Source organism: Homo sapiens, chromosome 15 (assembly GCF_000001405.40).
Source record: "Homo sapiens chromosome 15, GRCh38.p14 Primary Assembly".
NCBI classification, from domain to species: domain Eukaryota; kingdom Metazoa; phylum Chordata; class Mammalia; order Primates; family Hominidae; genus Homo; species Homo sapiens.
The window spans coordinates 41,848,145-41,868,706 of NC_000015.10; the positions used below are offsets into that span (position 1 = coordinate 41,848,145).

The window sequence follows — 20,562 nt, forward strand, 5'->3', positions numbered from 1 at the left end:
GTGAGGCGCTGAGACCATCTGTTATTACTGCTGAGAAGGGCCATGTCATTCTAGGCTCTTGGCTGTACATGGCAAGGGCTGGTACAGAGCTCGCTCATCAGTGTTCTTCCTCCGAAGAGCACATTCTCTGCACACGTCTGCGTCTACCTGTGCTCAGAGTCACCCCTTCCAAGCAAGGAGGAGGCCACATGGGCCTGGGGTAGCCCTGGCCTTGCCCACCTGCTCTGCCGTAACACGTCTCCTCTTCACCCAGACAGGAATGCAGGGGGAGGCCAGGCAATGGCTGTTTCCTGCCACATGGTAGGACCCATCTAACCAGAAGGAACTGTCTATTCCAGAAGCTGGGCCTGGGGAACTGGGTTGAAGCAGCCACGGGAAGGAGCCCTTTTGCCTGTAGCTGAGTCTTATTCTGGTCCCTTAGATGTGTCCTCGCTTGTGCCCCTGAAGTTTGGTGTTGCACTGGGGTTCACCTCAGGGATCAGACCTGTTGGGAAAACGGAATGAATTTAGTAGGGTATGGCCACCCCAGAATCTTCTCCAAACAAACACACACTGGTGCCCCTGCCCTCCCCTGGACCAGCCAGCCTCCTAGAATAAGCGTGGGAGTGGATTCCAGAGCTGACTGACAGGCGCTGCAGCAGCGACCACAGTGACGCGTGAGTGGGTGGGAGTTGCCTCGACTTTCATAACCCAACTCTACGTCTGTCAGCTGGCCTAGCAGCCCCAGCCCTGGGTTAGAGACAGCAGAAAAAATGGCTGTCCTGGTAGCCTCAGGAGCCACTGTGTCCAGGACAAGGCCTGTCCCGTCAGCAACACATCATCTAAATCATATATTGGGCTCTGCAGGACTGGGAGCAGATGGTTACACTGGAGACCACAGCCGTGGCTGCCACCCCTCATGGTATGAGCCCTCCAGGCACACGGCTGTATATGCGTGTGCACATCTAGGCACATCCTGGCATGGGGCCCATGCACGGAGGATTTGCCTGTCTCCAGTCCCTCCTCCACTTTCACCTAACCTCAGGTGTCCCCTCCCCCTGGAGAGCCTGAAGCCCTCTGGTTTGGAAGGGAAGGAGATGTGGGTGAGGGGGGTTGAGCATCGAAATGATGCTGGGATCTACAAGGAGGGACTGAGGAGCCAGGTAAGAGCCTCCTGCCCCTGCACATCCACCTTCGCATCTCCTCCCTGGCCTGCAGGCCGGGACATGCTGGACCTCTCCATTGCCATGGAGTGGGGATTGGGGAAAGCAGGGGAGGACCAGGTAGAGAACGGGTTGGAACAAGGGTGGGGCAGGGTCTGGCCGTCCTGCCAATGTGCTGTGCCTTGGAGAGGGGAGAGGAGGGAGGAAAGTGAGGAGTGCATGGGAAACAAACCCAGGCAGGCTCTCAGCACTGGGCAGAGGGAAACCTGGCTGCTCCTCCCACAAGCAGCCGAGCAGGAAGGGCACAGGGAGCCTGGGCAGCTTCGTCTACAGGGTCCCCACACTAGAGCCTGGAGTGAGCCCTGGGAGGGGACCACTGTAGAGTCTGTGGAAATCTGGGCTTTGTGGCCTGGATTCCTCTCAGCTGAGAGTGGGCAGGGGCAGCTGAGGGTTCCAATAGCATTTCCCTACAGCCCAACAGAGTAAGTCTGAGGCCCAGAACCTCAGGCTTCAGAGGACAGCGCCTGCCAGCCACTGAAGCCCAGGGCTCCCCGCCCTGCTTCCCCCACCCAGGTGTCCCACCTGAGTAGACATCCAGGCCGGGCATCCTTGGTCGTGCACTCATTCAGAGAGCTGACAGGTTTGGCTTTGAGTTTTGGGCTCAGACTCTGGGCTGCAGAGCAAGGGAATAACCACTGTTAGCCCGGCCCAGACCATCTGCAGGCGCCAGGTCTGGCTGCTCCTTCCTCCAGCTTCTGGAGGCTCAGCACAGCCTTAGGCAGCCTGGCTATGCCAGGCCCTTCCCACGTGGGGGTGTGGGGCGGGCTGAGCACTTGTGGGCAGGTTTTTCCCCCATGCGTCCTGCCTCTTAGGAAACTCCTCACAGGTGAGTTAAGAAAGGCTGAGCCTTTCTTAGGAGGTGGGAAATTCTGGAATGTCGAACAACTCAAGATCCCTTTGGGCTCCTGGGAAGACAGACTCTTGGGAGGAGAGTCCAGGGGAACCAGCGACAGAGCTAGGATCCCAGACACATTCCCTGAACACACGGTCCACACGGAGCCTCAGCAGAGCACGCTGACCACGGAAGAAAGTCCAAAGGGTTGTCTCTATATATTCCTCCAAGTAGAACCTGGCTTGCTTACTGTCTGCAAAACAACTCAAGGGTGGTGACATTCAAAGTTGTCTGAGGACTAGAAGGTTAGAGAAGCACCCAGATCAGACAGAACAGAGCCTGGAAAGCCCTTGGAGGAACACAGTCCATGAGGATTCTGGCAGGAAGGGCTTGGGGCAGTCTGAGTGGCAGACTCCAAAAGGGGCAGAACAGGACCAGGACACAGCTGGGGGTTCAAAACTGGCCCCATCTCTGCTAATTAGCTGTGTGATCTTGGGCAAGTTGCGTAACCTCTCCAGGACCTAAATTCTTTGAGGAAAAACAGTAAGTCCCACTTCTTGGAGGTTAGAGATGCTAACTGTGAAACCTCCCTAGGATGCATAAAACACTAGGGGCCCAGGAGCTTGGGGCCCAGGGAGTCGGCCGCCCTCCCCGCATCCTTCCCCTGAAGCCCACCTGCAGTGCTGCCCAGGGCTCGCCACCAGCTCTCAGCCTGCTCTTCGGACGGTGCTGCAAACAGGATCTCTGCCCCACTGGTCAGCCTGGCACCCACAGTCACAGGTCAAACTCCACTGTCCCTTTGGGGACCCCCACGCCTCCAGCCCCCGCTGAGCCAGGTGGCTGCTGGGGGTGATGCCGGAGTCCATGTCTCTCCGCTCACCTTAAGGAGAATGTGTGTTTCCTGCCGTGGCGGCCCCGCAGCCTCTCACACCGGGCTCCCGTGAGGTCAAGGAGGGCTATGGAAGCTACTTTCTGAGGAGAGATGAGAGGCAGGGGTCACTGCGGCCATCTCAGCTTTTCCCTGTGGGGTCCCTCTGTCCTGGGGCCCCTCTGCCTTGCTTCCCAGCACCCTGATGTCTGCATCTCCCCTACCCCGCCTGGTACCTCCGCTGCCATCCTCTCATCCAGGAACAGGCTCAGAGAGCTGCCCTGCAAGTTCCCGCGGCAGCTGTCCCAGGAGCTCGAGCTAGGCTGTGGAGAGGAGGCGGGAAGGTCGCATGAGCCACACGCAGGAAGCCAGAGCTAGGGCCTGTCCACGCCTCACCATGTGTGTGGAGCTTCCCAGGAAAAGCGGTGGATTGGACCAAAGTCCCAATGGGGAAAGGGAAGCCACAGAGGGGCTCTGACGGGAAACCAAGCAGAAGGGGAAGAGCAGGTGGGGAGGAGGAATCCCAGCACCTCCTGGTGGGGGTGGGTAGGTGGGGGCGGTGGCAGGAGCTGGGAAGGGTCCCAAGGAGCCAAACTGCCTGGACAGCATGGTGGGGGGTGGCATCTGCCCAAGTTCACAGTGCAAGGGTGCCAGGCCCAGATGGCTCTTCGAGCCACTCAAGTGCTGCTGCAAGTGGGGAGCTGCCTGGAGAAGGAATCTCCAGGCACTCACCTGCCTCCCGCCAGGCAGCAGGTGCTGCTTGAACTCCAAAGACCCCTCCATGGTGGGGGTACCCTTTGCATCCTGAAAATGCAAGATGGGGCCCAGAAATGTCAGGACCAGCACCCTCAGGAAGGTGGGCAAGGCACCCACTGCCCCCAGCTCTCTTTATTCCTCCCATCCAAGTACTAACCAGGCCTGACCCTGCTTAGCTTCTAAGATCAGATGAGATCGGGCATGTTCAGGGTGGTATGGCTGTAGACAGCCATCTTTATTCCTAATGACCTTCAGCTCCTGTGCCCGGGCTCCCAGCACTGGCTCCAGGGTGTGGGCCCTCACCCCCACAGCCCCAGCCCCACTGCATGCTTCAGGGAGACCACGGCGGGGGTGCCTGCAGCCCCATAGGGACACCTGCCTGGGGGTCCCTCGTCTCAGCCAGCTGTGCTCCTAGCCCCTGGTGTCCAGAGGGCCTCCACTGAAAGGATGTCAGCGAGCTGCCAGCTCTCCCGGGCTTCAGCTCCTGTGGCTGCAGCAGGAGCTCCTGTTCCATCTTGGGGAGTGGGCAAGGTGGGCAAGGTGAGCCAGGTCAGGGAGACCAGCCACACCTCAGGTTCCCGTCTACCTCCCCTCCCCCAGCCCTCCCGGTCAGAGGGGGCCTGCCTCCCCATCACTAGCTCTTTCAGCTTTGGCTCTGGAGGCTCACACCCAGTCCACAATGGTGCCTCTCCCACCACCGCAGCTGGCCAGGGAAAGGAGCAGGTAAGGCAGGGCCGGGTGAGGGCTCAGTGCCCTGGGAGACACTGACTTGCAGGCTGAGAGGGACTGTTCCCCCACCAGCCCTCAGCCCCTAGCCGAGGCAGTCGTCACCTCTGTCTTTTGCATTTGGGCAAACTTCTCTTCCTGGGCTGCCAGCAGCTTTTCTAAGTCCTGGTGTCTGTGCAGCAGCAACTCCACATCTGACACTGAGTGCTGGGGAGAAGCATGTTCAGGTGACGCCCAGCTTGGGGGGGGGGGCCCAGAGCCTGGTAGCCAGCTAAGGGGCAGGACCCCCACTCACCCCATAGTCGGGCTTCAGCAGGAGTCCCTCCCAGCAGGCCAGCCAGGCCTCAGCCTGCTCCAGCCTCTGCCGAAGCTTCTGCAGGCCCCAGCTCTCGGCACAGCGTTGCCAGCGCAGGGCCCAAGCCTCCTCCAGCTCCTGCAGCCGCCCTTCCAGCTCCTGCAGGCACTCTGTCACCTGGTGGGGAGGGGCTGCTATGGGTGACAGCTTGGGTAGGGCTCCCACCATGGGCAGGGCAGGGCTGGAGAGCCAAGTGTTAATGGAAGTGCAGAGGGAAGGCTGTGAGACCCGCACCTGCCCCTTCCCAGCCTCTCTCCCTGCCTGCGCCCAGCCTTCCTTTCCTGCTGGTTTCCATGCCTGTGAGGGGCCCTGAGGCCCTGGGCAATCAGGCTGTATCCCCAGCCCAACCCCAGGCCCACCCTCTGAGTTCACACCTCCGCAGACATGAAGTGGCTGTTGTCCACCAGCTGCTGTCCTTCCTGCCGCAGGTCCTGGGCTTGAAGGCGGCACTCCCTGATTTCTTGCCCCAGCTCTTCATGCTGCCCAAGGAGCTGCTCAGCCCCCGCCACGTCCTCAGCCAGCTCCTCGGAGGACGCCAGCTCCTGCCTCTCCTGTGCCCATGCTCTGTGGGGCAGGGAAGGGAGCTGTTGTCAGGGCTGGCTGGGGAGCAGGGGAGGGAGGGTCCAGCTCCCCCAAGAGCCAGGATACCCCCACCCCACAGGGTAGAGCTGAGCCGGCAGCTGAGGTAGGACACCTACAGCAGTTCCTGGCAGCGCCCGAGGAAGGCATGGCCCTGTGCAGCCTGCGCCAGCCACTGGCCTCGCTCCTGGGCCTTCGCCTGCAGGGTGGCCCAGGCCTCCTGCACCTTGGCCAGGCCCCCCGGAGCTGCAGGATGTAGCTGGCCCAGTCGGCAGGCCTCCGTCTGTAGCCGTGCCACCTCCTTCTCCATAGCTTCCAGCTCTCTCTGCAACCAGAGCATGAGATCAGGCCTCAGTCCCCCCACTGAGCCGATGCGTGCTCTGCATTCAGGAGCACCAGGCCTCTCTGAGGAACCACCTCCACTCTGCTGCACAAGCTGGGCCAAGTCCTAGGGCCCCTCGGGGAAGGATCTGGGTTTCTGGAGAAGAGGCTGAAGCAGGCTGGGGTGGGAGGGCTGAGATAGGTCCCCTCAGCCACCGCCTTCGGGCAGGGGCTCAGACAGGCAGGCTGCAGGGCGTGGGCCTCACCTCCAGGCGCCTGTGCTGTTGCTGCAGGGTCCGCACAGATGACAGGCTGTGGCCTCCGTCCTCCCCCTTCATCAGGGCCGTCTTCTCCTGCATCCTTCCCTGGAGCTCAGCTGCTGCCTGCTGAAAGCTGTGGACCTCATGGGCTGCAGCCAAGTTCTGGGAGAGGAGAAAGGACCTGCTCAGGGCTGTTCTCTGCTCCCAGGATTCCTTTCTCCCTGGAGACATGGCCTTCTGGGCCACCTCCTTTTGAACAAGGAGGATCATGGGGCTTGATGTGTCCCCAGGTACAGAAACCATCCTCCATGCTGCAGCCCTCAGTGAACGTGATGATATGGGTCTGCGGCAGGCCAGGGGGTGGGGAGGGTGGGGAGAGGAGAGGGCCTCGTGCATCTCAGGGAAAGGCAGACGCGAGGTGTTGGGTCCACGTGAGGGAGCAGGCCGGTTCTCGGGGATCTGGCTGACCCTGGCAGTACCACCTGCAGTGCCTCTCATGGGGCTGGGGGACCGGGTCAGCTCAGGAGGCAGCCCCAGCCCAGGACCTACAGAGATGGAATGTCCTGGGCTGCAGCCAATTCCTGGAAGAAAGCTGAGCAGGTGAGGGAAAAGGCACATTCACTTGAGGCCAGCAGGGTGTGTGTCTTGTTGGAACCAAAGCCTGTGGTAAGGAGGGCTTAGAGGGATTTTTTGAAGACTCTGACACCCCTTAGCTTGGCCCGGCCTGTGATCACCTACCTCTGTGCGGGCTTTTATTGCTTGGTCCAACCTCTCCCAAGCAGCCTCAATGCGGCTCCTCTGGGCTTGGATGTGGGGATAGCGCCTGGGTGCACCCCGCTCCAGGGTGCCTGCCAACTTCCTCAGGGCATACACCTTGGCCTGGCCCAGGCTCTGCACTTCCTTTCTGAAAGCATCAAACTTCTCTTCCAGCACCTGCAAAGGTATGAGGCCCAGCAGGGTCACTTGAGATGGTATCATGAGCTCTCAAAGCTCATGAAGAGCTCAGCAGACTCTGATGGCTCTGAAATCCCTCAGCCCAGGTTCTGGAACCATCGGGATCCTCCCTAGGACACCCTCTCCAGGCTCCTTTCTGCTGACTCCCCAGCAACCCTTTCATCCCAGGGCAGGCCTTCCTCAGCCTCTGCCCACTCCCCGTGAGGTTTGCTCAGGAGTAACTCACCTTGACACCCTCCAGGTCCTGCCCGTAGTCCTGGGACTCGGCGGTGGCCGCCTTGGTGGTCAGCCAGGCGTCGAGGAGCAGGGTCTCTCGCTCCAGCTGGTGTAGCTGCAGCTGCTCCTGCAGGCCGTGCCCCCTGGCCTCCGCCCTCCGCAGCAGCTCTGCGTGGGCCTCCCGAACTGCCTGCAGCTGGGCTAGCACCTTGGGGCTGTGGGAAGAGAGCGACAGTCTGGACTGCAGCCCTGCCTTTCCAGGCTGGAGCAGTCTCCTGCCATCTCTGTAGGGGGCTTCTCTCTGCTCCTTCGCGGATGGTGTGGCTTCCGCCCACCTTTCTGGGTTCTTCCTGCTCTCCAGGAGTGCTGCTGTCTGCTGCAGCCGCTCGATGCGTGGGCTGAACGCTTCCAGGTCTCTCTTGGTGGCCTCCAGCCGCCGCAGAAGGGCCTGTGTGGCTTCAGCACTGTGGCCCATGTCCTCGCTGTCCAGGACATGGCCCCGCTCAGCCAGCCAGGATCCCGCCTCCAGGAGCTGGGGGTGACAGAGTGGAGATCCGTTTTCCCGGGGCACCCTCCAGGGCTCAGGATTTACAGCCACGATTCTCAGCCTGGCTGCACAGGGGAATCACCTGGGAGCTGTCACGCTCCCTCAGCCTGGCCCCACTCCTAAGCAGCCTCATCTGGTCCGGAACACAGCCAGAGCGGCAGTGTTTTGTAAAGGGTCCAGGTGATTGTTTTTTTCCATGCAAAATAGACATTTTATTCTTGGTTCATAGGCATAGATTTTGTCACTTAAAACCAAGTTTTAGCAAATATTCCTTGCAGTGTTTCTCCCTTTCACTTATTAGCCTTTTTACTTCAGTTTTTCTTCCTTTACAATTGTATTCACCATTGTGAAGTAATTGAGGTATAATCGTTCAAGTGAAGGTTCCAGGTGATTCTCATGTAAAGCCCTGGTTGAGACCCACTGATCTAGAGGGAAAAAAGACAAAAGCCAACCCAGCCAGCAGCTGTGTTCTGGGAAACATGTGGAAGGAAGCCCTTGGGGGCAGGAGACCACTGAGTGGAGGAGACGAAAGGTGCCCAGGCCAGGAGCCCCGGAGTGACCTCCCAGCCGCACTCGCCCTGTGTTCCAGGCTTGCCTGCTGTGCCCTGCCCATCACTCCCCTCACCTCAGTCAGAAACTGCTGGGCCTCCTGAGCCTGCTGCAGCAGAAGCCGCCTCCGCGCCGCCTCTGCCCGCAGGTGGGCCATGGCCTTCTCCAGCTGCTGCACCCGGGCGGCCACCTCGTGGGCGGCAAAGTGCCCAGCCTGCACCAGCTTGTACCCAGTGCCCAGCACCACCCGGGTCAGAGCCTCGTGGCTGCTCATCTCACTCTCCAGGTTCTGCGGGGGAGGAGGCAGGAGGATGCGGATGTTGCTGACCCTTGGGGGACTCCCACAGTTGTGCTTGAAGTTTCACGGGACCCCACTAACTTGTCCCCAAGGAGTTCCCTGTCCCCATGACTCCCAAAGAATCCAGGGCATCCCAAAAGCCCCCACAGGCAGAGAGTTCCTGGCTGGGCCACAGAGAGTGCCATTTCCTTGGCTGAGAAGCCCTGCTCATGTGCGAGGCCAGCCCTCCCCGGGTGGGCCCACACCTGGTGCTGCTCCTGCAGGTGCCGCACCGCACTCAGGCTCTGGCCATAGTCCTGGGCAGCGGCCAGAGGCAGCTTCTCCTGCACCCAGGCCATTTCCTCGTCGGCGTCCCTGAAGAACTTCAAGAGGAGGCTCCGGGCCTCCAGGGCCGTCCTGCGCTCCTGCAGGGGCTCCCTCAGGCTCTTGAACCTGCAGCGGTGGAGGGTGGGACCAAGGGAGGCAGGGACCAGGGTGTCAGTATTAGGGATACCTGGTGACACAGATCACCCAGCTGTGGCCCTCACCATGGGCAAGGGGAGAAAGTGAGAAGACATCAGTTAAGAGGGCAGGGGTGGGGGTCCCTCCAGGAAGGCAGGGAAGAGAAGCTGAGGGCACGGGTGGATCTACCTCTGAAGCAGCCGCCGGGCCTGCTCTTCCACATCTTGGGCAAGGCAGTGGCCTTCCCTCACAAAGGCCTGGGCCTGGCCCAGCAGTGCCTCAGCCTGCCTGGCCTTCTTGTCCACTGCTGCCTCCAGCTCCCTCTGTGTGCCCAGGAGCTCGCCCACCCCAGGCAGGGCCTGGCCCACAGTGGGGGCTCTCAGCTCAACCTCGATGGGCTCCAGCCAGTTCTCCAGTTCCTCCATGCTCCGCCGCAGACGCAGGGCCTAGGGTAGAAAGTGAGGTAGGCAGGAGGGGAGTGTCCTGGAGCCCGGCCAGCCACCCCTCGGCCTGCACAACCTCACCTCACAGGCCTTCTGGAGCTTGGCCACCTTCTTCTGGGAGTTGTCTTGCAGCTCACCCCAGAGTGCTCCCAGCTCCTCCAGTCGCTCCTGGATGGCCTCCGAGGCTGGGTGGCCCCCCTGCAGCAGCCTCTGTCCCTCCTGCAGCCACAACATGAAACACACCTTGTGGACTCAGGACTGCTGGTACCAGGGCACTTGTGTTGACTCTGACCACCAGCACTAGAGCTGCAGAGTCCCTGCGGTCCAGCTGCATGATCTTGAGCAACTTTCTTTACCTAAGCCTCATTTTCCTCATCCGTATCATAGAGAAAATAATGGTTATTTTGTTTAAATGAGATAAGTCATATAAAATACTTAGCAGGGTGATTTATATCAGAGGGAGCCAGCCTGGGGTCAGGACCTGCCTTTGCAGGTGGAAAAGAGAATGTTTTAAAAAGTGCTATGCTGGGCACAGTGGCTCATTCCTGTAATCCCAGCACTTTGGGAGGCTGAGGCAGGTGGATCGCCTGAGCTCAGGAGTTTAACACCAGCCTGGACAACATGGCAAAACCCCATCTCTACCAAAAATACAAAAAAGTAGCTGGATGTAGTGGTGTGGGCCTGTGATCCCAGCTACTTGGGAGGCTGAGCTGGGAAGATCACTTGAGCCTGGGAGGCGGAGGTTGCAGTGAGCTGAGATCTTGCCACTGCACTCCAGCCTGGGTGACAGAGCAAGACCCTGTCTCAAAGTGGCTATGTTTTGACTCCTTCGCTCACAGGACTGGTGGCTATGTCCTGTTCACATCAAAATGTTATCTTTAAAATTAATGAAAAGCTGCCATTTTTGGAGAGGGTGCCCCCCCTGCCCGCCGGAAAGCAACTTCTTCTCACTACACTTCTGCCTAAACAACCGCTTAGCCAGGTGCCTGCATGCAGAAAGTACTGGATAACGCTGGCCACCGTTACTGTGGTTCAGCACCAGCTCTGGGGCACTGTCCTGTGTTCTGCCTGGAGAGCTGTCCCACCACCCTCCTGCCTGCAGGGCCTCACCCGCTGCAGCTCCTGCTGTTGGTGCATGCTCGCGTCCAGCTCCGCCTGGAAATTCTGCTGCTTCTGTAACTGTGCTGGCAGCATGGCTGTGTCCAGCAAACCCTCCTCCAAGGCCACCAGGTTCTTCTCCCTCAGCCACGCAGCCACCTGGGCACATGGGGAGGACAGGCCTGCTGTCCAGGGCTTTCCCCTTCCCCTGACCTCTGGGATACCCCAGAGGAAGGGTGGCCTTTCCCTGGGTCGACTCCTTCCCCACCATGACCGCCTCCCTCTCCAAGCGAGGCGAACCTCCTGGGAGTCCTGCAGGAAGGCCTGCAGCTGCCGGAGCTCCTCCAGGCGATGGCGGCGGGTCCCGGCTTGCCTGAAGAGCGCCTCCTTCCTGCCAGGAGGAGAGGCTCATGGGCCTGGAGCCACCCCCGGGGCCAGGTGGGGTGCCCGTCCAGCCTAGGCTTTCTCGGGTATGAATATACTCTGAGTCTGGAGTTTCCTTTGGAATAAAGGTACATTGCACTCCCCCTCTGTATTTGTGTCTGTTATGCGCCGGATTTTGTACCCCCAAGTTTGTTTTTGTTTTTGAGACAGAGTCTCACTCTGTCACCCAGGCTGGAGTGCAGTGGCACAATCTCGGCTCACTGCAACCTCCACCTCCCGGGTTCAAGCAATTCTTCTGCCTCAGCCTCCCGAGTAGCTAGGACTATAGGCTCACACCTCCAGGCCCAGCTAAATTTTGTATTTTTAGTAGAGGCAGGGTTTCCCCATGTTGGCCAGACTGGTCTTGAACTCCTGACCTCAAATGATCCACCTACCTCGGCCTCCCAAAGTGCTGGGTTTACAGGCGTGAACTACTGCACCCAGCCTGTACCACTGAGTTCTTATGTTGAAGGCCTAACTCCAGAAGTGTTTTTGGAGACAGCGTCTTTAAAAGAGGTAATTAAGTGAAAATGAGGTCATATGGGTGGGTCCTAATCCAGTGTGACCTTATGAGAGGAGGCAACTGGGGCAGACACAAGCACAGGGGGACGATCTGCCTCCTGCAGGAGGGCAGAAGCCAGGGGCTAGAAGTCAGGGTGGCACTGTGCTGGGGGAAGCTGAGCCTGCCAGGAACCACCTAAGGTGACTGGGGTAGGGGGTGGTGACAAAGACCAGCAAAGCAAAGTTTGCATTCTGTTAATTCAAAGACCTCCACAGGTACCCAGGTGTGGTCCACCTGCAAGAATGGAGAGGGGGTGGCCGCGACCACTGCCAGGACACCAGCACAAGGAGCCATGGCATTTGTGGGTGCTGGTTGGCTCTCTGATCGGCTCTCTGAGAAGGACAAAAGCCCCCACCAGTCTGGGATCTGGCTTTTGACCGTATCTGCCTTGATCTAAAAGTCTGAGGAGCTGCATGAAGCAGCCAAACCTGATGAGCTTTTACAGGGAAAAAGAACTGCAGAGCTGGGGTCTCATGGGCCATGCAGGTCACATGCATCTGTGTCTGAACTTCAGTTAGATGAACTAAGACTTCTGCTAGCCTGCCTGTGGGGCCAGCACAGTGCTTTCGTCCTCATCACAGCCGTTAAAGCCCAGGATGTGAGGCTCAGCTGCCGAGAGGAGGAACTTGTCTGAGTCCTGCCATTAGTGGGCAGCACAGGGACTCAGGACTGTGACCCTGGAAGGCCGATGCTTGACCTCTGTGCCCTGCGACCTTCCGTTTCGTGAGATGATTTCCTCTTGGTCTCCTAGCATAAGCCTCTCTTTAAACTCCCTTTGATCTCAACTGAATGAAGAAGGAAGTGGGATTTTCCACGTGGTGTTTGATGTCCATAACAGGCAGACACATTGCAGGGCCAGGGGTGGTGGGGACCCCCGGCATCTGACCTCAGTCCTTGGACAAGGCTGGTGAGCCTGGGCCAAGTAGTGGAAGGGTGGGAAGGGAAGAACCGGGATGCCAGATGCCTGTGCCAGCCTGCCCACAGCACCCCTCACCCCAGAGCCACCACTACCTCAGAAGCATGGCCTGGCACCTGCCCAGGGCACTCTGGGCCTCGGGGTGCCCACCCTGGTGCAGGCCGCGGGCCGTGGCCTCCAGAGCACTGATCTTTCCCGCCTGCACCTCCAGGTCCCACTCCAGCATCTTGTGCTTCCACAGAAGGGGCTCCATGGGGGCCAAGGGGTCCTGGTGGGAGTGGGGAACCCAATACTGTCCATGAGCCTCCCCCTCCCATCCCAGGCTACCTGCCTTCCCACCTAGAACCATCCTACCAAATGCTCATCCACAGAGCGGCTGCTCCGCCCAAACACATCCCTCACATCCCTCAAGGCTGTTTCCAGCTTTAGGACAGTGATTCCCAGCCAGGGGAGGCATTTGGATTAGGGATCAAGAGCCAGAATCTCTGAGGCAAGCAGAGCTTTTTCATTTAAGGTGAAAGCTCCCTCCTCTGCACTCCCTGGAGGACCATGTTAGTCCCCAGTTATCCTCTGAGGTCTCCTATAAGTTACACTCGTCTGCTTCAGGGTTGGGGCAGTGGCGGGAAAAGCCAACCTCTAGGCATTTGGGAAGCGAGGAGGGCAGGGGTGAGGTGGCAAGAATGGGTCAGGCCCACACAGGCACTCTAGAAGCTCCTTGGTGTTCGCGGTGGGGCCTGCCCACAGCTGCATGGGAACTGCTCTAGATGACGGGTAAGTAACTGCCCAGTGACGGATGTGGCCCAGGGTGGGGAGATGGCCCCGAAGGGGAGGATCCCTGGCCTAGGGAGCTCAGGCAGCACTGGCTGGTTTGACCCCTAATGCTGCTCTGGTAATTCCCCCCTCCTGCCCATTCCTGCTGGGCACCTACCCATAGACCCTCACTGGCTAGGGAGTCTTCCTTGCTGCAAAGCCAACGTTCCATCTTCTCCACTGAGCTCAGAAACAGCTGAGAACAAAGGAAAAGGCAAGAGACAGTCGGTGGAGGGTCCAGCCACTGCAGTTGGAGTGACTGTTCCAGTGGCACAGGTTAGGGAACCAGGGTCCTGGAAGGCAGGAGTGCTGAGTGGTGGGGAAGTCCCTGGCACAGCAGCCCCTCCAGTCTTAGCCTTGACCAGAGGCTGTGGGGTCAGCGCAGGCCCTGTTCGGGGGGGCAAGATGCAGGCTGGGGATGGGACTGTGCCTGCCTGTAGCTCCAGGGCCTGCTGCAGCTGTAGCTGATGCTCCTGCCAGGCCCCTTCCAGGCTGCTCAGCTCCTGTTCTAAGCCAGCCAGCACCTGGCGAATGTCGGAGCTGAAGGGGTGCCCCGCTGTGAGCAGTTGCTGCCCAGTGCTTCGGGCCAGGCTGATGCTGTCTGTCCAGGAGTCCAGCTCGGCCTGGAACAGGACTGGGCTCAGATCACTGGGGGCTGGAAGCAGCCCAGCAGGCAGGAGAGAGGTGGGGAAGCAGCTGAGGAGCGGGAGGCTGGAGGAGATAGGCAGGGCGGGACACTCAGGAGGCCCAAGAGCAAGGAGATGAGAGGAAGGGGAGGGCAGGGCGGAGCTGAGAGCCTGGGAAAGGCTTGGGCCAGCTGCCCATTCACCTTGCACTCCTGATGCTCTTCTAACATACGCCGGGCTTCCACAGGGCTGCGAGGAGCGGGGCTCGTGTCCATCTGAGCCCGCAGCCTCTGGGCGCTGACCAGCAATTCCTGCAGCATTGCCTGGAGTTTCTGAGCTTGGTGCAAGGCATCCAGCGCCTCCCTCCTGCCCACAGCGCTCATCAGCTAGTCGTCAGGCCTTCAAACCCCTCTCCCCCATGCCCACTGGTGTCTTCTGTCCCTTAATCCCCTCAACCACAGGAGGGCCCATGGGCTGGGAGTTACTGGGAGGACAGTACAGTTATTTGAAGGGTGGAGAAGGAATCCTAGGGGAACACAGGGGCTGAGGGGAGGTGTGGGGACTGAGATGCTGGAGGATGGGTCGGCGAGGGCAAGGCCTGCGGGTTCATACCGCTTCTGGGCCCTGCTCCGGAGCTGCCACCAGCTCTCAGCCACCTCCTGCTGCCTGTGCCTGAGGCCGTGGGCTGCCTCGGGGCTTCTTTGGCAGAGGCGGCCCACTTCACGCTCTAGGGACTGCGGGGGAAGCCGGGGTCAGAGGCTGGGGCAGGGGAGCTCTGGGCCACCCAAGCCCCTCCTCCCCACTTGTGCCCAGGGTCCTACTCAGGAGATGCCCTGGGCCCAGCTCTACAGCCAGCTACGCACCTCCACCTGGGCCTGGATGGGGTGCACTTCCCGCTCCAGCTCCTCGTGTTTCCGCAGCAGCCTCTGCACGCTCTCCAGATCTTTCCCACAGTCCAGGGCCTGGATCAGGGCTTCCTGGAGGAGGGGCACGGCCAGTTACCTGCTGGGCCTTTGCTTCGGCTCCTCCTTCCTGGCAAAGGGCCCAACCAGTGGCTTCTGTGTGCACAGCAAGTCCCCAGCGTGATTTCCTGGCCCCGACTTTGAGGGCCAGAGATCTCTTCCTTATGTGAGGGGGACGATTCTGAGGAGCAACTCTGGATTTGGAGTCTCCTCTGAGGGAAGAACCTCACGTGTGTGCTGCTTCCCTGTACAGTCTCACTCAACTCTCATCCCTTGAGGAGCGAGAAAGGAAATAGAGCAAGGATGGACAGACAGGCCTGTGCCGTCATTTGAGGGCAGAAGCCAGCGGAGGAAACAGCCAGGCATGCCCAGCACAGGCAGCAGCACTTGTTTCACACAAGGGCTTCCTAGACCGGGTTCTAACTCTGCCAGATTCCAGCCCGGGGCTCTGTGGTTATGTACACAGTCCCAGGGCAAACCTCCCGAGGGTTTGGGCTTCCTCAGGGATGGGAGGAAACAGAGAGTGTGTTTTCTGGCCTCTGGACCTGCCATGTATCTGGGGACCAGATCTGGGGGAGAAAGGAGACAGGGAATCCCCCACTGAGCTCGCAATGGATGCTTCTATGGTCCTGAGTTGATCCTGAGGGCCAGCCCATCAGATGTCCCTGGTGCAGACTGCTGGGACCCACCTCCAAGTACCCAGCTGAACAGGAGAGGCCAGTGAGGGGGGAGACGCATGGGAGACTCTAGGCAGTGCCCCCTCCCCTGACTGCATTTGCTCACAGCCCCCACCGGGACCTCTTTCCACCACGTACCTTCTCCTGAATCCTCTTGGTGACATTGTCCAGCTCTCGGGACAACACGTGTATCTCCAAGGCCCCTTCGAGCTGCTGCTGGTACCGGAGCAAGTTGCCATGGAAACTCGCCCACCTGGCCAAGGGGTGGTGGTGTCATGTGGAGCCTGAGGTGGCCTTCCACCCCTCTTCCCGGCCCTTTGGTTCTCCCCAGCCTGGGACTGGCCTGTTGTTGAGCTGGCTTCGCCGCTGGCAGATGATCTTGACTTCCTCAGGGTCCCGGTTCTTGAGCTGCAGTGACAAGTCACTGATGCTCCTGATGCAGGCATCACCCACTGTGTCCTGCAGGGGAGGTATGGGTGAGGGCATTGGCACCCCCCATGCAGAGCCCCTTCTTCCCACCTCAGCAGGCACTGAAAGCATGCCTGGGCCCCGGAGCATGAGGAACTGCATATTTGGGCAGTGGGAAGAACTGCCTCCTGCCTCCTCTACTGCGGCAGGTCCCTGAGGTCACCCCGTCCAGGTGAAGTGAGCAAGATCAGCTTGGAGCCTGCAGCCCCAGAGTCATCTCTAAGGCCAGAAAATGGGATCCCTGCACTGGGTACCATGTAGGAGGGGGAGAGTGGGCACATGCTCACTAACAGAGACTCTTGAGACGGAGTCTCCCTCTGTTGCACTGTTGTTGTAGTGGCACAATCTCAGCTCACTGCAACCTCTACCTCCCTGGTTCAAGCGATTCTCCTACCTCAGCCTCCCGAGTAGCTGGCACTACAGGTGCCTGCCACCAAGCCTGGCTAAGTTTTGTATTTTTCGTAGAGATGGGGTTTCACCATGTTGGCCAGGCTTGTCTCAAACTACTGACCTCAAGTGATCTGCCCGCCTTGGCCTCCCAAACTGCTGGGATTACAAGCGTGAGCCACTGTGCCCAGCCACAGAAACTTTTAAAATGAAAATTCGGCTTCTTGGTTGAAGAGAAGCAAAGGGAGGTTGTGGAATGGAACAGTGAGCTCTGGCTTCCTGGGGTTTGGGTGTCCCCACCCCAGGACTCGTCTGAGCTGAGGCTGGTGCTGCTTGGACACTGGATGGGGTTTAAAGGTACGCAGGGAGGGGGTCCACCGCAGGGTGTGATTGCAGATCTCCTGCCTCTGGCTTCTGTAGAGCTTGTTTAAATTTCCAAAGCACTTTCCTATGAAGTGCCTCATTTGCAAGGTAGGCAGGGAAGGACATTCCCCTCCTTTTATAGATGCCGGAGCAGAGCTCAGAGGCTAACCTGGCTCCTTTGCGGCAGAGCCAGGATTCAAGCCCAGCTCCTTTGGAGTCTAGCTCTCTTCCTACTGCAGCATCTGGCACAGCGTCTGTGAAATTCCACCATTAACAAGGGATGTCTTAGGTTTAAGCACTGCCGCCTCTTAAAAAGTAATACATACATGTACCGGGGGACAAGGTTAGCACATTTGGTCTTTAACACCTGATTGTCAATACATTTGCCATTTTTTTCCCCTGTATACCACATAAGAGAAATAGATGTTTGGTGTGTGTATGTGTGAGGGGGCGGGTGTGGGGTGAGAAGACGCTGAGACGCTGAAATAGTCACACTGAAGGTGGGCGCTGATTATCTGCCACATCCAGGCATATGTCCTATCTTTTTAAGATTTTTTGAAATAATTATAGATGCCCAGGAAATTGCCAAAGTCCTGCAGAGAGGTCCCTGTGCCCTTCCCCAGCTTCCCTTACAGCAGCATCCTATATAATGATAACATTAAAACCACAAAGCTGACGTTGGTGTAATACTACCAACTAGACCAGACCTCATTCAGATTTTATTAGTTTTTGCAAGTATGCATCTGTGCGGGGCAGTGGGGGATAGGTCTATGCAGTTTTATCACAGCTAGAGATTCACGTACCTGCCACCACACACGTGCTCTCTTACCTCTGAGGTGGGTGCTACCCCCATTCTAAAGAGGAAGGAGTGAAGGCGGGTGAGAGGAGGGAGCCTGCCCGAGGGCATAGGAGGAGCAGGCATGGCGCCCACGCCCTGCTCTACAGCCCACACTCTTTCCCTGCTCTCAGTTGGATTTTCAGTGCGGGATGCATGGCCAACCTCTACCCAGCAAGGCCCTCTTACCCCGGCCGAGTTTCCTCGGAACTCGCGGAGCCGCCGTCGGAGCTGCAGGCAGTGCTCCAGGTCCTGGCCCAGGTCACCAACATTCATCTTCACCTCCTGTGAAGGCCGAGGGTGGGGAGGGAGCGCTGTGAGCACCAGCCCAGGCTCCTGGCACCTGCTGCTGGGGATCCCTCCTGTCAAGGGAGGGCTCCTCCCCCCATCTCTCAGCCCCCACCCAGCTGGGGCTACACCTTCTCCTGGATCCAGGCCTCTGCAAGGTCCACTCTCTGCAGGAACTCCAGGAAGTTCCGCCTGTCCTCCAGCTCCTGGCCCCTGAGGGCCATTGCCTGCCTCAGGTCCTCCCAGTGCTTCCGCAGGCCCTGCAGCCGCTGGGAGACCTCTCCGGCTCGAGGGTGACTCTGTGCCAGGAGAGCCTCTCCCTTCTGGAGGGAGAGAGGGGACACAGGACATCTTGCCTGCTGCACTTCCTCCTAAGACTGACATTGCCCCTGGGCCACACTTTGGGGCAGGCATGGGGCTGAGGGCCCGGTTGTTACCTTGGCAACAGAGGTCATGACCTCCTCATGGGCCTGGACTTCAGCCTCAAAGGCCTGGTGTTTCAGCAGGGGCTTCAGCTTATCTCTCAGGTCCCCAGGAGGGACCGGCTCCTTCAGCTGCTGGGCCCACGCCTGGATCCAGTCCTCAGCCTGGTGGGGGTGGGACATGAATGCTGCAATGTTCTGCAGCCTCAGGCCCCAGACGCCACAGGCCTAGCCCCCAGCCATTCCCAGGAGGCTGGCCTCAGGGGTGGGGCGGGCAGCACCTGGTAAATGAGCCCTGAAGGTTCCAGCTCCGGAAGGTTGCTGCAGGAGGCAGCCGGGCAGGGCCTTGGGTGGGCTCTCGTTTTGGAGGTGTGGCCCCTACTCCTGGGGCCCTGGGCTGCTCTGCTCCCTTCCCCACCTCTCTTGCCCTGGCGCTGCTAGAGCTCGGGACACTGGTGAGGTCTCCACACAAAGGGGCTTAGATCCCATGTTCTGGGCTCCAGCACAGCCTCTGGGAAAGCCATCCACCCCCGAACCTGTTTCCGCCTCACAGTGTTGCGGTGTGAAGGCGGCTGAAAACTGTCGAGTGTGGTTCCAGTGGAAGGCCCTGGGCTGGGGGTGCCCTCTGACCTGGGTTGCGGCCTGGGTGAAGCTGGCCATCAGCAGGGAGGCATGCAGGGCGTGTCCCCGGCTCTCCGCCAGCTCCTTCACTCTCATCCGGCGCTGCAGCAGGATGGGAAGCCGGTCCCGCACCCGGGGGCGCCGGAGCGTCTTCAGCCGCTCACGCAGGGCTGCCTCCTGTGGGGCAGGGGCACAGCTGCTGCTCTCCCACCCTGGGCTGGGGCAGGGCCTGGCCTGCAGGGCTCACAGTCCTTTCTTTGAGGGCCCCGGAGCCCTTTCCTCAGCCCCACATGGCTGAGGGGTATCTGATCCTCCCAGCCACAAGCCAGACCAGTCTGCTCCCCAAGGACCACACGGTGTGGACAGAGCCAAATGCCCCGTGTGGGTCTCTGCAGTGTGGCCCATCTCCCCCTGGGCCCTCTTCTTGAGCCACACATACAACTTGCTCAGTCAACCCCAACCAGGACCCCAGCCTTGCAGGCTCATCAGCACTGCCTCCAGGAACACACCAAGCGCCCCGTGACCCCCTTCAGGACTCTCTCCCAACCACCACACTCTGACCACGCCCAGGCCTCCTGACTCCATTACCTTCTTGTCCTGGGCAGTCAGAACCTTCAGGAAGACCTCGTGCTTGCGAATCAACTGCTCTACCTCTTCCACCGAGCTCCCCAAGGCACTGGTTTTCAGGGAGACCTGGATCCACAGAAAAGTCAGAGGCCACCAAGCCTTCCAGCCAGCCAGCCCCTCCAGCTGCAGTCTGTGCCCATGGGCACTCTGGGTATGGCAGGGCCTTAGGAGTGCCCACTGAGCTTGGCATGGAGCTGTGAGGAGTGGGAGTCCAGGTTGGGAGGCTGCGATACCTCAACCTCTGCACCATGTGGGGAGCATGACCAGCCTCTGGCCAACTTCCTCGGGGCTCAGTCTGGGATAGGGGCTGGGGATGTCAGTGGACGCTCAGGGGCCTCAGCACTTCACCATGGCCACCTGGAAGGACTTGTGCACAGCTGCCTCATATTAGAGAAAAAGCCAGAGAGGCAGGAGGAAAGGGACTGAGCAGAGAGGAGAATAGAAAGGAGGAGCAGGAGGCTGAGCGGAGTGTGAGGGCGGGAGGGGACCTGCCTCCTGGGCCGCGAGGATCTCCTCCAGGCGGCCGCACTCTCTGAGGAAGAGCTGCTCCTGCTGCTCGGCCTGCAGCCTCTCTTGCTTCCGTGCCCAGGTCTGATACACCTGGTCCCGCTGGTCCTGCAGGGCTCGAAGCTCTTCCTGGACCTGGGGATGGACACATGAGGAGCCTCAGCTGGGGAGGGTGGTGTGGGTGAGGTGAGGACTGGATCCTGAGGGAAGCTCCTGAGGAGAGGCCAGCATGGCACAGTAGGACGGGGCACCAGGTGGCCAGGCACAGGCTTGGTCAGCTAGGGTATGTGGGGGCACCAGGGGAGGGGGCCCACCTCCTTGGTGGGTGTCCCTGCAGCAAGAAGTGCCTGCTGCCCCAGCTGGGTGGCCTGCTGCCACAGCTTCTCCCGGGCCTCCAGCTCCGCCCGGAGCCACTGGTGGGCACTGAGCTTCAGCGGGCCACTGCTAGGCTCTTGCGAACTCTCCTCCACCTGCAGGTCCTGGCGCACGCGGGCTGCCCAGGAGGCATAGTCACGCACCTGATCCCGGGGACACGGAGGGAGAGCCGGGTGAGGGCTGGGCTGGGCAGCAGGAAACCAGGTGCTGAGGCAACTGCAGCCCACCTGAGTCCACTCACACAGCCC

General features: G+C 59.8%; 1 protein-coding gene, 1 non-coding gene and 1 pseudogene across 6 annotated transcripts in view, besides 5 other annotated features; all 3 read right to left on the minus strand.

Moving 5' to 3' along the window:
• SPTBN5 (spectrin beta, non-erythrocytic 5) overlaps positions 2 to 20,562 on the minus strand; it is a 45,908-nt gene continuing 25,347 nt past the window's right edge. For 2 of the 5 annotated variants that reach the window (XM_017022299.2, XM_017022302.2), the window contains 35 exons: positions 20,254 to 20,457; positions 19,925 to 20,074; positions 19,394 to 19,498; positions 18,815 to 18,982; positions 18,200 to 18,349; positions 17,894 to 18,085; positions 17,664 to 17,759; positions 15,765 to 15,880; positions 15,560 to 15,674; positions 14,646 to 14,759; positions 14,395 to 14,516; positions 13,986 to 14,148; positions 13,591 to 13,779; positions 13,275 to 13,352; positions 12,442 to 12,614; positions 10,746 to 10,836; positions 10,458 to 10,604; positions 9,429 to 9,566; positions 9,094 to 9,350; positions 8,709 to 8,895; positions 8,242 to 8,454; positions 7,080 to 7,601; positions 6,638 to 6,832; positions 5,906 to 6,061; positions 5,438 to 5,643; positions 5,114 to 5,303; positions 4,680 to 4,856; positions 4,490 to 4,591; positions 4,038 to 4,172; positions 3,635 to 3,706; positions 3,139 to 3,225; positions 2,915 to 3,006; positions 2,710 to 2,795; positions 1,725 to 1,815; positions 2 to 484 (listed from right to left, as the gene is read on the minus strand). In XM_017022299.2, coding sequence (XP_016877788.1) covers positions 472 to 484; positions 1,725 to 1,815; positions 2,710 to 2,795; positions 2,915 to 3,006; positions 3,139 to 3,225; positions 3,635 to 3,706; positions 4,038 to 4,172; positions 4,490 to 4,591; positions 4,680 to 4,856; positions 5,114 to 5,303; positions 5,438 to 5,643; positions 5,906 to 6,061; positions 6,638 to 6,832; positions 7,080 to 7,601; positions 8,242 to 8,454; positions 8,709 to 8,895; positions 9,094 to 9,350; positions 9,429 to 9,566; positions 10,458 to 10,604; positions 10,746 to 10,836; positions 12,442 to 12,614; positions 13,275 to 13,352; positions 13,591 to 13,779; positions 13,986 to 14,148; positions 14,395 to 14,516; positions 14,646 to 14,759; positions 15,560 to 15,674; positions 15,765 to 15,880; positions 17,664 to 17,759; positions 17,894 to 18,085; positions 18,200 to 18,349; positions 18,815 to 18,982; positions 19,394 to 19,498; positions 19,925 to 20,074; positions 20,254 to 20,457 — 5,292 coding nt within the window. In that variant the 3' untranslated portion in view covers positions 2 to 471. Of the gene's footprint in view, positions 485 to 1,724; positions 1,816 to 2,709; positions 2,796 to 2,914; positions 3,007 to 3,138; positions 3,226 to 3,634; positions 3,707 to 4,037; positions 4,173 to 4,489; positions 4,592 to 4,679; positions 4,857 to 5,113; positions 5,304 to 5,437; positions 5,644 to 5,905; positions 6,062 to 6,637; positions 6,833 to 7,079; positions 7,602 to 8,241; positions 8,455 to 8,708; positions 8,896 to 9,093; positions 9,351 to 9,428; positions 9,567 to 10,457; positions 10,605 to 10,745; positions 10,837 to 11,263; positions 11,374 to 12,441; positions 12,615 to 13,274; positions 13,353 to 13,590; positions 13,780 to 13,985; positions 14,149 to 14,394; positions 14,517 to 14,645; positions 14,760 to 15,559; positions 15,675 to 15,764; positions 15,881 to 17,663; positions 17,760 to 17,893; positions 18,086 to 18,199; positions 18,350 to 18,814; positions 18,983 to 19,393; positions 19,499 to 19,924; positions 20,075 to 20,253; positions 20,458 to 20,562 lie in introns of those variants that run through there. The other 3 variants (NM_016642.4, XR_001751302.2, XR_001751303.2) reach the window with 3 other exon arrangements.
• On the minus strand, positions 3,769 to 3,885 carry RNA5SP393 (RNA, 5S ribosomal pseudogene 393; annotated as a pseudogene).
• Positions 4,529 to 5,138: an enhancer, noted in NCBI's record as "H3K27ac-H3K4me1 hESC enhancer chr15:42144871-42145480 (GRCh37/hg19 assembly coordinates)". NCBI's record gives its function as "activates a minimal SCP1, AML or CMV promoter by ChIP-STARR-seq in naive H9 embryonic stem cells {active_cell/tissue: H9 hESC(naive)}" and the evidence as "EXISTENCE:reporter gene assay evidence [ECO:0000049][PMID:30033119]".
• Positions 5,139 to 5,749: an enhancer, noted in NCBI's record as "H3K27ac-H3K4me1 hESC enhancer chr15:42145481-42146091 (GRCh37/hg19 assembly coordinates)". NCBI's record gives its function as "activates a minimal SCP1, AML or CMV promoter by ChIP-STARR-seq in naive H9 embryonic stem cells {active_cell/tissue: H9 hESC(naive)}" and the evidence as "EXISTENCE:reporter gene assay evidence [ECO:0000049][PMID:30033119]".
• Positions 6,731 to 7,247: an enhancer, noted in NCBI's record as "H3K27ac-H3K4me1 hESC enhancer chr15:42147073-42147589 (GRCh37/hg19 assembly coordinates)". NCBI's record gives its function as "activates a minimal SCP1, AML or CMV promoter by ChIP-STARR-seq in naive H9 embryonic stem cells {active_cell/tissue: H9 hESC(naive)}" and the evidence as "EXISTENCE:reporter gene assay evidence [ECO:0000049][PMID:30033119]".
• Positions 7,248 to 7,763: an enhancer, noted in NCBI's record as "H3K27ac-H3K4me1 hESC enhancer chr15:42147590-42148105 (GRCh37/hg19 assembly coordinates)". NCBI's record gives its function as "activates a minimal SCP1, AML or CMV promoter by ChIP-STARR-seq in naive H9 embryonic stem cells {active_cell/tissue: H9 hESC(naive)}" and the evidence as "EXISTENCE:reporter gene assay evidence [ECO:0000049][PMID:30033119]".
• Positions 8,281 to 8,795: an enhancer, noted in NCBI's record as "H3K27ac-H3K4me1 hESC enhancer chr15:42148623-42149137 (GRCh37/hg19 assembly coordinates)". NCBI's record gives its function as "activates a minimal SCP1, AML or CMV promoter by ChIP-STARR-seq in primed H9 embryonic stem cells {active_cell/tissue: H9 hESC(primed)}" and the evidence as "EXISTENCE:reporter gene assay evidence [ECO:0000049][PMID:30033119]".
• Positions 18,351 to 18,407, minus strand: MIR4310 (microRNA 4310). The gene has a single exon (NR_036195.1). It is a non-coding gene; the product is annotated as a microRNA 4310 (primary transcript).